The sequence below is a fragment of the Homo sapiens genome, chromosome 3, assembly GCF_000001405.40.
Source record: "Homo sapiens chromosome 3, GRCh38.p14 Primary Assembly".
Classification (NCBI taxonomy): domain Eukaryota; kingdom Metazoa; phylum Chordata; class Mammalia; order Primates; family Hominidae; genus Homo; species Homo sapiens.
Window position 1 is genome coordinate 158190197 of NC_000003.12, and position 15128 is coordinate 158205324.

The 15128-nt window shown below is 35.4% G+C and overlaps 1 protein-coding gene across 6 annotated transcripts in view; it reads left to right on the forward strand.

Annotated features, from left to right (window-relative positions):
- RSRC1 (arginine and serine rich coiled-coil 1) overlaps positions 1 to 15128 on the forward strand; it is a 435642-nt gene that overhangs the window by 80108 nt on the left and 340406 nt on the right. For 5 of the 6 annotated variants that reach the window (NM_001271838.2, NM_016625.4, XM_047448273.1 and 2 more), the window contains exon 4: positions 12876 to 13049. The exons of the other annotated variant lie outside the window; for it this stretch is intronic. In NM_001271838.2, the coding sequence (NP_001258767.1) occupies positions 12876 to 13049 (174 nt within the window). The remainder of the gene's footprint in view (positions 1 to 12875; positions 13050 to 15128) is intronic. 6 annotated transcript variants of the gene reach the window in all.

Genomic DNA, 15128 nt, shown 5'->3' on the forward strand with positions numbered 1-15128 from the left:
GTAACTTAATCAGGATATATCTCAGGGTTAATTATGGGTAGTTTATTTCCCCATGGTGGACCCTTTCTACATGTGGATGGCTTTAGTTACAGGACTGTTCTTGCATTATGATTGTAATAATCTGTTACCTTGTGTTTTCTTTTGGAACCTCAACTAGTTGGATGTTCATTGTGTGCCTCTTCTTTCTATAACTTTTTTCTGAAATTTTCTACTACTTTTGTTTTCTTTCTTTTGGCCCTTTTCATCATTAACATCTATGTCTCTTATTATATGAGCACCTTATAATTTAATATTCATTTCTGAGATGACTTATTTTATTTTAATTTATTTACTTATTTTATTTTTAATTTAAATAAATTGGTTTTTTTTCCCAAAATCAGATAATAGTCATTTCATATCTCCCTGTTATTTGTCCATTTTTTTCCTGGAATTTTTTTTTTTTGCTTGTTTCTTTATATTTGATTCATTTTCAAGTGTTATGTTACAGTCTTCTCTATTTCATGGTTTTTAGTGAGATATATTTACATTTTTTGAAAAATTTTGATTATTTCTGTTGCTTATAGTTGCTTTGTATGGATGTTGGATTCTCTTTTTATGTCGTTCTTGATAATTTTCTTGGATCAGCAGTAATAGACAATACTGTGGATGGACTGAAGATTTCGTATGGCTTTAACCCTTCTTGAATGACACTGTATTGTTTAGCATCGTGAGGTGGAGTTTCTTTCTTTTATTTTATTAGAAATAGGGTCTTGCTCTGTCATGCAGGCTGGAGTACAGTGGCTCACTCCAATCTTAGCTTACTGCAGCCTTCTAACTCCTGGAGTCAAGTGATTCTCCTGCCTCAGACTCTCAAGTAGCTGAGACTACAGGCATCATTTATGATCTTGTTTTTGTAGATCCCTGAACTTCAGCACCTTGTTTCCAGTTTTCCTTTATCACCAAGCCACCGGTGGACACCTCCCTTTCCAAAGCGCATCACTCCTAGAGTGTAGGTCATTAAAAAAAATTCCTTTTATTGTTATCGTTTTAGTTGGAATTTAGTAGGGAGTGAAATTAGGTGTCCATGTTCAAAATGTCATCCTGACATGGAATCCATGTTATTTTTGTTCAATGTGTAATTATTTAATTTTAATTACAGTTTTATTTTATGGTAAATGTAATCTTTATTTATAGATAGGACTTAACTGAATAGACTACTTGAAGTATTGTAGTTTTCTTTTGAACGACAAAATATTAGGGTATTTGTTTTGATTACATGTGTTTAGAACTTATTAGCCAATTAAGAAACTTGACAAATTGTTTTTTTAAGTCAGTAATTCATTTTATGTAGAGATGTTGCAGGGACTTTTCTTATTCTGTAGATATTGAAAGCATTTATCTGGTATAATAGGACATCTTGCTATCCATTTATTGCTTATATATTGGGTGTTCTAGAGTGCCACATTTTTTATCAAATGTTTCTTTGCTTATAATAGATCTCCATATTGGCTTTGGTACTCTAGAGACTTCTAGAGTGATTTATCAGAAATATACTTATTTAAGGAATGAGGGACAAATAACATCTTAAATTTTAATATAGTTTCTTTGGCTTTTTGTTTGTTTGGTCTGGGTAGGAAATCTCTTTACTCTGAACTTGTACTTTCTTCTTGAGGACCATTCAAATTTGTAAGTAAAGTTAGTTAATAAAGTAAATGGAGTTGTTCATATGTCCAGGATGTGAGTTTTATTCAAAATTGTGTAAAATCAATTCTTATGACAACTAAGAAGTTAGCAGCTTAGTTTATTTCAATCTGTGCTTGGTTTCATGGTTGTTTTTAACAGCCTTTAATAATTTTTTTCCTCTCTTTGTTTTTGCATTTACTATTTTTTTCACACGTATTTTCTTCAGAGTCACTTTTTGCTACTTGCAATCTATAAGCATGATTAAGAGGCATACAGTGTGAGGATTAAAACAATGAACATTAAGACATAGAGGGCAGGGGGAAGGTCCAATAGCTTATTCTGTGCATACTGTGCATACTGTGATGTTTTAAAACTTACTGCTTTCTTTGAATTTGACATCATGTGACTTGACTTATAGATCTGTTATTGCTATCATAGTTTATTGAACCACACCAGCAACATTTATAGAATATACCAGAATTTTCAAGAGATGAATTGCTCGTATGAAGATGTAGGGTGAATAATGAGCACAATTAGTTTGGAAAATGGCAGGCATATGTTTTCTATAGTAGAGTCCTTGTGTTAGGGAAAACTGTGAGATGGGTTTGGAGATAACTGAGCTTGCTTAATTAATTGGTAAGGTGGGAGAAGTAGAAGATTGGGAAATAAGGTGCTAGGGAGGATTGGGTAGATAGTACTTGATAGAAGACCTCACTGCTAATTGCAGTATCCCGTTTTTCTATAATGGTGATAAAAATGTGATCAGACTCTGCTTCCTCTGGGACAGTGCCAATTAAGCCCTGCTATCTTCATGTTATAGTACCTCCTTCAAGACCTGCATATGTCCCCCAAATATTTCCTTTTATCCTCCAAAGGCTTCAGGACTTGGATGATAGGTGATATGGTCTTCCTGTTAATAGCAAACCACTGAAGATCGTGTATTTGGCTGCCGAGGGTTATCTGTGAAGACAAGGATATTAGTACTTCAGATTATTATTATTCACCTTCCTATATAAAAGATATACATTGAACCTTGAGCGATTGTTATGCCAGCCTTGAGATTTTAAAGGTCTGTCAAAATCAGAATGCTGCTTTTTCATTAGCTATGGTATGAGGGAAACATATTTCATATGCTTCTGATTCAGATTTTACAAATTCACTCAAATTAGTACTTCCCTCAGTTAACTTCTTTCCTAGTGCCTGCTTCCTTCTCCCAAATAACTTGTGTTGTTTCACAACTCAGTTAGGTAATATTATTTCATTCTCATGGTAAGGTAAATATTATTGTCATTTTGCAGATAAGGAAAGAGATGCTCAGAGAGGAAATAGCTTGTTCAGGGGCACTATTATTTGAGGATTTCTTTATCTTCTAAATCTGAATACGTATGTAACTTTGAGCATATTAGTAACAGATACATTTAGTTTTAAGGGTACAATAAAAACATGATTTTACCAAAATCCACCTCATCTGGAACCACAAATGGTAGTATATTTTGTCCAACAGTATATTTTTTTAATAAAAAGGGGCAAATGAGTAAGAAATGAGCTTTTATTAGAGATTTAGTTTAAAAATAAGCTCTTAGAATTTTATTAATGTTTAAACTAACTCACCTGTCTTTTGTTACTCTGTATTTTCACAGCTAATTGCCAGAATCATATTTTGGTCCTAAATAATGTGGAACCAAATAATGAAAATAACCCGTATGTCTATATGCATATAACGTATTTATATTGGCTGAGGTTATCACAAAAAAGGCTGCCTTCCATTTATATTGTTATTGCTTTTTTATCAGAAAACTTTAGAATTTAACTGATTATTGCTCAAAGATTTTAGTAATCTGTTAAAATTTCCACGTATTTACACGTAATAGAAAATTTAATCAGAAAAGAATCAGGTAACATCTGTGGGGACAGTAAGTTGTGATGATAAAATTTTGATATAGAAAGATGCTCATGTCAAAATTAAGGAATAGTCAAGGAAGCTTATAAAGCAAATGGTAGAAATTTCGTATGTGTAAATTAGGACAATAAAATAATTAAACCTATGTTAACATTAGCAGTAATAAATATTGTGAGTTCAGGTCGACATACTAGTTCATGACTATAATCCCAGAACTTGGGGAGTCTGACACAGGAGGATCACTTGAAGCTAGGAGTTTAAGACCAGTCTGGGCAAAATAGTGAGACCCCGTCTATACACACACACACACACACACACACACACACACACACACACACACACACAGAAAAGAAATTAGCTGAGCATGGTGGCACAGCTGTAGTCCCACATCTGTAGTCCCAGCTACTTGGGAAGCTGATGCGGGAGGATCACTTGAGTCAAGGAATTTGAGGTTGCAGTAAGATACGATCATCCTGCTGCACTCCAGCCTGGCTGACAGAGTTAGACCCTATCTCAAATAAATAAATAAAGGAATGAAGAAATGTAGGAAGGAAAGGAAAGAAGAAAAGAAAAGAAAAAGGAAAGGAAAGGAGGAAGGAAGGAAGAAATTTCTTTTTTTTAAATATACACTGAATAATTATTTGCTTTTATTATATTTATAAACAGTGTTGTCATGAACACCCATGACATTCTTCTTTTGTGCTGGACGAGGAGCTTCAGCACTTTGAGATTCTTTTTTTTTTTTTTTTTAATTATACATTAAGTTTTAGGGTATATGTGCACAACGTGCAGGTTTGTTACATATGTATACATGTGCCATGTTGGTGTGCTGCACCCATTAACTCGTCGTTTAACATTTGGTATATATCCTAATGCTATCCCTCCCCCTCCCCCCACCCCACAACAGGCCCCGGTGTGTGATGTTCCCCTTCCTGTGTCCGTGTGTTCTCATTGTTCAATTCCCACCTATGAGTAAGAACATGTGCTGTTTGGTTTTTTGTCCTTGCGATAATTTGCTGAGAATGATGGTTTCCAGCTTCATCCATGTCCCTACAAAGGACATGAACTCATCATTTTTTATGGCTGCATAGCATTCCATGGTGTATATGTGCCACATTTTCTTAATCCAGTCTATCATTGTTGGACATTTAGGATAGGTTCCAAGTCTTTGCTATTGTGCATAGTGCCACAATAAACATACATGTGCATGTGTCTTTATAGCAGCATGATTTATAATCCTTTGGGTATATACCCAGTAATGGGATGGCTGGGTCATATGGTATTTCTAGTTCTAGATCCCTGAGGAATAGCCACACTGTCTTCCACCATGGTTGAACTAGTTTACAGTCCCACCAACAGTGTAAAAGTGTTGCTGTTTCTCCACATCCTCTCCAGCATCTGTTGTTTCCTGACTTTTTAATGATCGCCATTCTAATGGGTGTGAGATGATATCTCATTGTGGTTTTGATTTGCATTTCTCTGATGGCCAGTGATGATGAGCATTTTTTCATGTGTCTGTTGGCTGCATAAATGTCTTCTTTTGAGAAGTGTCTGTTCATATCCTTTGCCCACTTGTTGATGGGGTTGTTTTTTTTTTTCTTGTAAATTTGTTTGAGTTCATTGTAGATTCTGGATATTAGCCCTTTGTCAGATGGGTAGATTGCAAACATTTTCTCCCATTCTGTAGGTTGCCTGTTCACTCTGATGGTAGTTTCTTTTGCTGTGCAGAAGCTCTTTAGTTTAATTAGATCCTGTTTGTCAGTTTTGGCTTTTGTTGCCATTGCTTTTGGTGTTTTAGACATGAAGTCCTTGCCCATGCCTATGTCCTGAATGGTATTGCCTAGGTTTTTTCTAGGGTTTTTATGGTTTTAGGTCTAAGATTTAAGTCTATAATCCATGTTGAATTAATTTTTGTATAAGGTGTAAGGAAGGGATCCAGTTTCAGCTTTCTACATATGGCTAGCCAGTTTTTCCAGCACCATTTATTAAATAGGGAATCCTTTCCCCATTTCTTGTTTTTGTCAGTTTGGTCAAACATCAGATAGTTGTAGATATGTGGCATTATTTCTGAGGGCTCTGTTCTGTTCCATTGATCTATATCTCTGTTTTGGTAGCAGTACCATGCTGTTCTGGTTACTGTAGCCTTGTAGTATAGTTTGAAGTCAGGTAGCGTGATGCCTCCAGCTTTGTTCTTTTGGCTTAGGATTGACTTGGCGATGCGGGCTCTTTTTTGGTTCCATATGAGCTTTAAAGTAGTTTTTTTCAATTCTGTGAAGAAAGTCATTGGTAACTTGATGGGGATGGCATTGAATCTATAAATTACCTTGGTCAGTATGGCCATTTTCACGATATTGATTCTTCCTACTCACGAGCATGGAATGTTCTTCCATTTGTTTGTATTCTCTTTTATTTCGTTGAGCAGTGTGGTTTGTAGTTCTCCTTGAAGAGGTCCTTCACATCCCTTGTAAGTTGGATTCCTAGGTATTTTATTCTCTTTGAAGCAATTGTGAATGGGAGTTCACTCATGATTTGGCTCTCTGTTTGTCTGTTATTGGTGTATAAGAATGCTTGTGATGTTTGCACACTGATTTTGTATCCTGAGACTTTGCTGAAGTTGCTTATCAGCTTAAGGAGATTTGGGGCTGAGACAGTGGGATTTTCTAGATATACAATCACGTCATCTGCAAACAGGGACAGTTTGACTTCCTCTTTTCCTAATTGAATACCCTTTATTTCCTTCTCCTGCCTGATTGCCCTGGCCAGAACTTCTAACACTATGTTGAATAGGAGTGGTGAGAGAGGGCATCCCTGTCTTGTGCCAGTTTTCAAAGGGAATGCTTCCAGTTTTTGCCCATTCAGTATGATATTGGCTGTGGGTTTGTGATAGATAGCTCTTATTATTTTGAGATATGTCTCATCAATACCTAATTTATTGAGAGTTTCTAGCATGAAGCGTTGTTGAATTTTGTCGAAGGCCTTTTCTGTGTGTATTGAGATAATCATGTGGTTTTTGTCATTGGTTCTGTTAATATGCTGGATTATGCTTATTGATTTGTGTATGTTGAACCAGACTTGCATCCCAGGGATGAAGCCCACTTGATCATGGTGAATAAGCTTTTTGATGCACTGCTGGATTCGGTTTGCCAGTATTTTATTGAGGATTTTTGCATCGATGTTCATCAGGGATATTGGTCTAAAATTCTCTTTTTTTGTTGTGTCTCTGCCAGGCTTTGGTATCAGAATGATGCCGGCCTCATAAAACGAGTTAGGGATGATTCCCTCTTTTTCTATTGATTGGAATAGTTTCAGAAGGAATGGTATCAGCTCCTCCTTGTACCTCTGGTAGAATTTGGCTGTGAATCCATCTGGTCCTGGACTGTTTTTGGTTGGTAAGCTATTAATTGTTGCCTCAATTTCAGAGCCTGTTATTGGTCTATTCAGGGATTCAACTTCTTCCTGGTTTAGTCTTGGGAGGGTGTATGTGTCGAGGAATTTATCCATTTCTTCTAGATTTTCTAGTTTATTTGCATAGAGGTGTTTATAGTATTCTCTGATGGTAGTTTGTATTTCTGTGGGATTGGTGGTGATATCCCCTTTTTCATTTTTTATTGCGTCTATTGGATTCTTCTCTCTTTTCTTCTTTATTAGTCTTGGTAGCGGCCTATCAATTTTGTTGATCTTTTCACAAAAGCAGCTCCTGATTTCATTGATTTTTTGAAGGGATTTTTTGTCTCTATCTCCTTCAGTTCTGCTCTGATGTTAGTTATTTCTTGCCTTCTGCTAGCTTTTGAATGTGTTTGCTCTTGTTTCTCTAGTTGTGATGTTAGGATGTCAATTTTAGATCTTTCCTGCTTTCTCTTGTGGGCATTTAGTACTATAAATTTCCCTCTACACACTGCTTTGAATGTGTCCCAGAGATTCTGGTATATTATGTCTTTGTTCTCGTTGGTTTCAAAGAACATCTTTATTTCTGTCTTCATTTCGTTATGTACCCAGTAGTCATTCAGGAGCAGGTTGTTCAGTTTCCATGTAGTTGAGCGGTTTTGAGTGAGTTTCTTAATCGTCAGTTCTCGTTTGATTGCACTGTGGTCTGAGAGACAGTTTGTTATAATTTCTGTTCCTTTACATTTGCTGAGGAGAGCTTTATTCCCACTATGTGGTCAGTTTTGGAGTAGGAGTGGTGTGGTGCTAAAAAGAATGTATATTCTGTTGATTTGGGGTGGAGAGTTCTGTAGATGTCTATTAGGTCGGCTTGGTGCAGAGCTGAGTTCAATTCCTGGATATGCTTGTTAACTTTCTGTCTCGTTGATCTATCTAATGTTGACAGTGGGGTGTTAAAGTCTCCCATTATTAATGTGTGGGAGTCTAAGTCTCTTTGTAAGTCTCTGAGGACTTGCTTTATGAATCTGGGTGCTCCTGTATTGGGTGCATATATATTTAGGATAGTTAGCTCTTCTTGTTGAATTGATCCCTTTACCATTATGTAATGGCCTTCTTGGTCTCTTTTGATTTGTGTTGGTTTAAAGTCTGTTTTATCAGAGACTAGGATTGCAACCCCTGCCTTTTTTTGTTTCCCATTTGCTTGGTAGATCTTCCTCCATCCCTTTATTTTGAGCTTATGTGTATCTCTGCATGTGAGATGGATTTCCTGAATACAGCACCCTGATGGGTCTGGACTCTACCCACCTTGCCAGTCTGTGTCTTTTAATTGGAGCATTTAGCCCATTTATATTTAAGGTTAATATTGTTATGTGTGAATTTGATCCTGTCATTATGATGTTAGCTGGTTATTTTGCTCGTTAGTTGATGCATTTTCTTCCTAGCCTCGACGGTCTTTACAATTTGGCATGTTGTTGCAGTGGCTGGTACCGGTTGTTCCTTTCCATGTTTAGTGCTTCCTTCACCCACTGTCGTGCACCCACTGTCCGACACTCCCCAGTGAGATGAACTTGGTACCTCAGTTGGAAATGCAGAAATCACCCATCTTCTGCGTCACTCATGCTGGGAGATGTAGACTGGAGCTGTTCGTATTCGGCCATCTTGGCTCCACCCCCCGCAAGAAATTTCTTAATATCACATTGAGAAAGTTTGTGGGTTTATGATCCAATATTCTTCTTTATTAAGTGAACCCATTAGAGATGGACAAGGACAAATATTACTGCTGCTGAAAGCCATGTAATTCTCTTAAAGACTTACATATATCCTGATGTGGTTTGGCTCTGTGTCCCCACCCAAATCTCATCTTGTAGCTCCCATAATTTCCACGTGTGGTGGGAGGGACCCCATGGGAGATGATTGAATCATCAGGGAGGGTCTTTCTCACGCTATTCTCATGATAGTGATTGGGTCTCATGAGATCTGAAGGTAAAAACGGGAGTTTCTCTGCACAAGCTCTTTCTTTGCCTGCTGCTATCCGCGTAAGATGTGACTTGCTACTCCTTGCCTTCCACCATGATTGTGAGGCCTCCCCAGCCATGTGGAAATGTAGGTCTAATAAACCTCTTTCTTTTGTAAATTTCCCAGTCTCAGGTATGTCTTTATCAGCAGCGTGAAAATGGACTAATATATATCCTGAGTATCTAGGATGAGTTCATGTGATGTCTCCATCATCCACATTCTTTATTCTTTGGTAATTTGTATTGGTTATTTGTATTTGCTCTTTTTCTTTCATTTGATGAGTTTCGCTGAGACATTAATTTTATTGATATTCTCAGGGTACTAGATTTTGACTTTGTTAGTTTTCTCTTCCATTGATTTTTCTCTTTAATGTTTCCTTTCTTCCAACTACTTTGGATTTATAGTGCTTTGCTCTTCATTTTGTAGCTTCTTCAAGTGAAACCTTAGGTAATTGATTTTAGATATTTCTTCTTTTCTAGTATAAACATTTAAAACTATAAATTTCTCCCTAAACGTTGCTTTATCTGCATCCCACAAATTCTCATATGTTGTATTTTTCATTTTCATTCAGTTCAAAATATTTTTAAATTTCCTTTGTGCTTTCTTACTTTACTCATGGATTATTTAAAAGTGGATTATTTGGTTTCCATATATCTGGAGGTTTTCTGTATGTCTTATTGTTAAATTCTAATTTAATTCTGTTTTGGTCAGAGAAACATGTTCTGCATGATTTCTGCCTATGAATTGACCCTTTTGATCATCATGAAGTATCCATTTTTATTTTGGGTGACACTCTTAGTTTCTGAAGTATAGTTTATGTGACATTAATATATTAACTTTAGCTTTCCTGTACTTGCTGTTTATATGATGTATATATTTTTATCCATTTACTTTTTTTTTGAGACGGAGTCTTGTTCTGTCACCCAGGCTGGAGTGCAGTGGCGCTATCTTGGCTCACTGCAAGCTCCGTCTCCCAGGTTCACTCCATTCTTCTGCCTCAGCCTCCCAAGTAGCTGGGACTACAGGCATCCGCCACCATGCCCAGCTAATTTTTTGTATTTTTTAGTAGAGACAGGGTTTCACCATGTTAGCCCGGATGGTCTCGATCTCCTGACCTCGTGATCCCCTCACCTCAGCCTCCCAAAGTGCTGGGATTAGAGGCGTGAGCTACCACGCCCGGCCTGGCCATTTACTTTTAACCTATCTGTGTCTGCTTATTTAAAGTACATATTTTGTAGATAGCATGTAGTTGTTGTTTTAGATGGCATACAGTATTGCTTTTTATTAATTTGACAAACTGCCTTTTTACAATATTTTGTTTATTAATATCTAATGTACTTATTGATATAATTAGATTTAAGTCTATCATTTTATGATTATTTTATGTCTTTCCCTTCTTTTTTCTTTTTGCTTCCTTTCCAGCTTCCTTTTGGATTAATGAGTATTTTTAATAATTCCTTTAAAAGCAATCTATTGACTTTTTAGCTATACTTATTTTCTTCTTTTTTTAGTAGTTGCTCTAAGGATTACAGTATATGCTCTTAACATTTCAGTGTACTTAAAGTTATTATTTCACCATTTAATGTGAAATATAGGAACCTTTTAACAGTATAGGTTCATTTACCTGCCCCATGCTTTATTCTATAGAGGTTATTTGTATTATGTCTACTTTCAGTATAAACCTTAGAGTAAAATGCTATTATTTTTACTTTGAGCACTTATATGTGTTTTAAATAAATTAAGGGAAATAAGCAGTTTTTGATACTTACCCATTTATTTACTTTCTATTAGTCTTCATTTCCTCCTAAAGAGCCATGCTTTCATCTGTTGTCATTCCTTTTCAGCCTGAAGAACTTTCTTTAGTATTTATTGTAATGCAAGTCTTCTGTTGATATTTGTTTACTTTTCCTTTGTCTCAAAAATGTCCTTATTTTACTTTCATTTTTGAGGGATGTTTTTGCTGGGTATAAAATTCTAGGTTGACCTTTTGTTTTCTTTCACCATGTTAAGAATTTCATTCCACTGTCTTCTGATTTCCATTATTTTTGATAAGAGGTCAGTAGCAATAATTTGTATCATTGTTCCCCTGTATGTAATGTGTTGTTTTTTCCTCTGAATACTTTCAAGATTTCTCTTTACCTTTAGTTTTTATCAATTTGACTGTAGTATTTCTAATCATGGTCTTCTTAATATTTATCTTACTTGGTTTGTTGAACTTCTAATATAGAATCTGTAAATTTGTCTTTTATTAAATTTGGAAAATTTTCACTCACCACTGAAAAAATGTTTTCTGCTTCATCCTCTGTTTTCTCTATTTCTGGGTTTAAATAAACATGTTAGGCATTTGAATCTTGTCACACAGATCCCTGAGGGGCTTTCTTATTACAGTCTTTTTTCCTCTTAATTCTTCATATTGGGTAATTTTGATTGATTTATTTGCATGTATACAGATTCTTTCCTCTGTTATTACCAGTGTGCTTTTAATCTCATCCAGCATAATTTTAATTTCAGAGATTGTGTTTTTCAATTACAGAATTTTTTTTCGTATTCTGGTATTTCTATTGAGATTGCTTAACTTTATCTTCATTATAAGCCTAGTTACACTTAATGCTTTAAAATCCTTATCTGCTAATTTTAACATCTAGTTTAGTCTCAGGGTTGCTCTTCATATGCTGTCTTTTCTTTTAAGAATAGAACACATTTTTTGTGTTTCTTCATATATCTAGGAATTTTGAGTTTTTATCCTGGACAAAGTGAATATCATATTATGAATACTCTGTTATTTTCCTCGAAAAATGTACCTTTGTTTATTTTTTTGTTTAGGAGGGAAATCACATGGTTGGATTAAAATGGCAACAATTCTGTTTTGTTTGTTTTGAGATGGAGTCTTTCTCTGTCACCCAGGCTGGAGTGCAGTGGTGCAATCTGGGCTCACTGCAACCTCCACCTCCGAGGTTCAAGTGATTCTCCTGTTTCAGCTTCTTGAGTAGCTGGGATTACAGGCATGTGCCACCACGCCCAGCTAATTTTTATATTTTTAGTAGAGATGGAGTTTCACCATGTTGGCCAGGCTGGTCTCGGACCCCTGACCTCAAGTGATCTGCCCGCCTTGGCCTCCCAAAGTGCTGGGATTACAGGCGTCAGCTGCTGCACCCAGCATGAATATAAAATATATTTAATATTCACTAAGTGGAAGTGGGTCATCATAAAGGTTGTCATCCTCATCTTCATGTTGAATAGGCTCAGAAGGAAGAGGCAGAGGTGGGGTTTGCCTTGCTGTCTCAGTGGTGGCAGAGATGGAAGAAAATCCACATGTAAGTGGATCCATGCGGTTGAAACCCATGTTGTTCAAGGGTCAACCTGAGTTGTTTTTAAAAATTATCTGTAGGGTTGTCAGTCTGGTAGATTATATATATATATATATATGTTTTATCAATATTGTAACCAGAACCTGAAATAATTACTTCTTAGTATTTTACTGTAATGCATTTAATACAAAGAATAGCTGGATTGGAGTGGATCAGTATTTATATTGGAACAATTAGAAATAAGAAATAAGGTTGAATAGATAATGGAAGCAAAGATTGTAGAGAAAAGGAAAGCCTTATTCTTGTAGATTAAATTAGATACATTATTTGAGGAGATGTGAATAATTAAGACTAGATTTGAACCTTTAAGGCAAACACTTTTTAACTGCATCATAATTTCCTATAAAGTTAGCATATATATTTCCCTCATATTAAGTGAGAGCATTTACTTATAAAGAATCATATTCAGGTGCTTGCTTCACGTGGTTATTTATTTCTGAGTCCACAACTAAAACTAAGTAGTTTTTTTCAGATAATTTAAAAGAGTATTTACTTTTCACGATACAAATTATACACTAAGTTTATTTAACAAAATCTGCTTACTGTAGGTCCAGGTCAAGACCTCGTCTCCGTTCTCATAGTCGTAGCAGTGAAAGGTCCAGTCACAGAAGAACGCGTAGTCGGTCTCGGGATAGAGAACGACGTAAGGGCAGAGATAAAGAGAAAAGAGAAAAGGAGAAGGATAAAGGGAAGGACAAGGAATTACATAACATCAAACGTGGGTAAGTTGGAGCAAATCTTATCTGGTAAGGACTTGGTGATTCCATGGCGATGTTCAAACTAAATTTTTGTTCTCTGAGGTTTTTCTTGTGGCTTATTTGCTATAAGAGTAGAAGAAAATGGAATAAAAAGAGAGAATACAGTAGAGAAGGAAGAAAGGATAAATCAAAATAGTTACCTCAGATTTTTACTGTGGTACATTTTCATTTCTATTTTTATTTAATAATAATATAACAATATTGGAATCAATATAAACAGCAATATCAAAGTTTAGTATGTAAGTAGAGGAAAATTTGCCTAATTCTGTAGGAAAGTTTCATACTCTGTTTCCTTTGTTATGAGTATGAACTTAAAATTTGTAGACTACTTAGTGATTAAAAATGTCTATTACCATATTGTAAAGCTGTTAGCGGAAAAGTATAAAGTTGAAACAGAAGGAGGGGACCATGTGATTTACTATTGTTTAAGCCTTTTTTAGTATAGAATGGGAGCTTGGGCAATATTAGGGTATGTGTGTGTTTGTAAGAGTGAGTGTATCTGCTTATGAGGTCCAGATTTTATTTTTCATAGAATTGATATTATTAAAACAATGAGATTCTAGTTTTGTCCATTTAGAGACAGAACTTGAAATCCACTCATAAGTGTTTGTCAAATTAGAAAACATTAAAATGAAACAATCTTTTTTAACAGAGTAAATTTACAGCATCTTGTTTGTTTTATTCAAAATTGTAATTGGGGTCTTTTATTCTAGGAAGTAGAATCTAATCTTGGAATTTATCCTCTTTTGTCAGTCTTTCAGTGTCTTGTGTGAATATATTTATTGTAATACTTCAATATAAATGTGTTTATATTTAATGTATTAGTTTTCCATGTTGAAGAGTTTACTAGGATTGCACATATAGTATCCTGAGATCTTGATTCTATAAAGAATTATTAAGTTTATTAAAAGATACAGAACTCTTTCCTCATTCCTTTCTTTTTCACAGTTGTTTGTGTGTTTATTTTTTATTTCCAAATTTATAGTGATGTTATATAAATCTGCCTAGATTGTTGGCTTTTAAGTATTCTTTAAATGTTAAATTTGTGGTGGAGTTTGGAAGAGGATAACATATTATTATGTGACTTTTGTTCACCTGATCATCCCACAACCATTAATGTACAGTAATCAGTTATGTTCCTGTAAAATTCTGAGTTCTATCCTCTTCTAGTTTTAAGGATTGTGAAATGTTACAGGAGAGGAGTTAGAAGTTAGATACCTGTCTGTAAAGGTGGGGAGGCTGAGTTAGCCAGCACTGGTAAAATGGAATGAAGGCAGAAAGCATATTGGGAAAATCTCTTGGTAACGGGAGAAAGTCAGTAGGATGATAAATTCGAAGGGAGGATTTACATACAGTAGAGTTCTGAGTCTGGAAAATATGCTTAATGAATAAAACTTGTCAATCAAGGAACTGCCTTGCTTCTGGTTCCTTTTAAAATTTTTTCTTCTTTTGGTTTTGTTTTTAAAAATTACATGGCTGTGGAAGAAAGCTATGATTTTTACTGGTCATTAAATTTTTGCCTTCCACCTCACCAAAGTTTACTTTTTTAGAATAATACTTGTGTAATTGCATAAAATTTATATTATATAAAACATTATATGGGGAATTTTAAAGGTAAGAAATATGAGAGAGTGAATAAAACAGAAAGGTTAGATTGTGTTAAAAAGGGTTCTCATATGGTAACATTAATCTTGAATGTCTCAGCCAGCTTTACAGGTTAGACTCATCTCTCACTCATAGTTGATTGTGTTCAAGTGGACCAATTTCTGGATGGCAAGTTTACAAGATAATAGTGTTGTATTTGTCGTTATTTCTTAACATTAATTTCAACAAAGGCAATGAACAAAGTCAAAATAAGAGGTGCAAAATAAAAGGGCACTGGGGACTGATGCCAAAAAACTGTGGGTAGTCTGCATTATGGTTTTAGTGGGCCGTAGTAGAGGATAGTGTTGTGTTAGGGTGCCCTTTCCCTTGCTTAGTGCTGAGGTGCACACAGATTCTTATATTTCCTAAGCCTGATTTTCAAGCCATTCTGGACTTAGA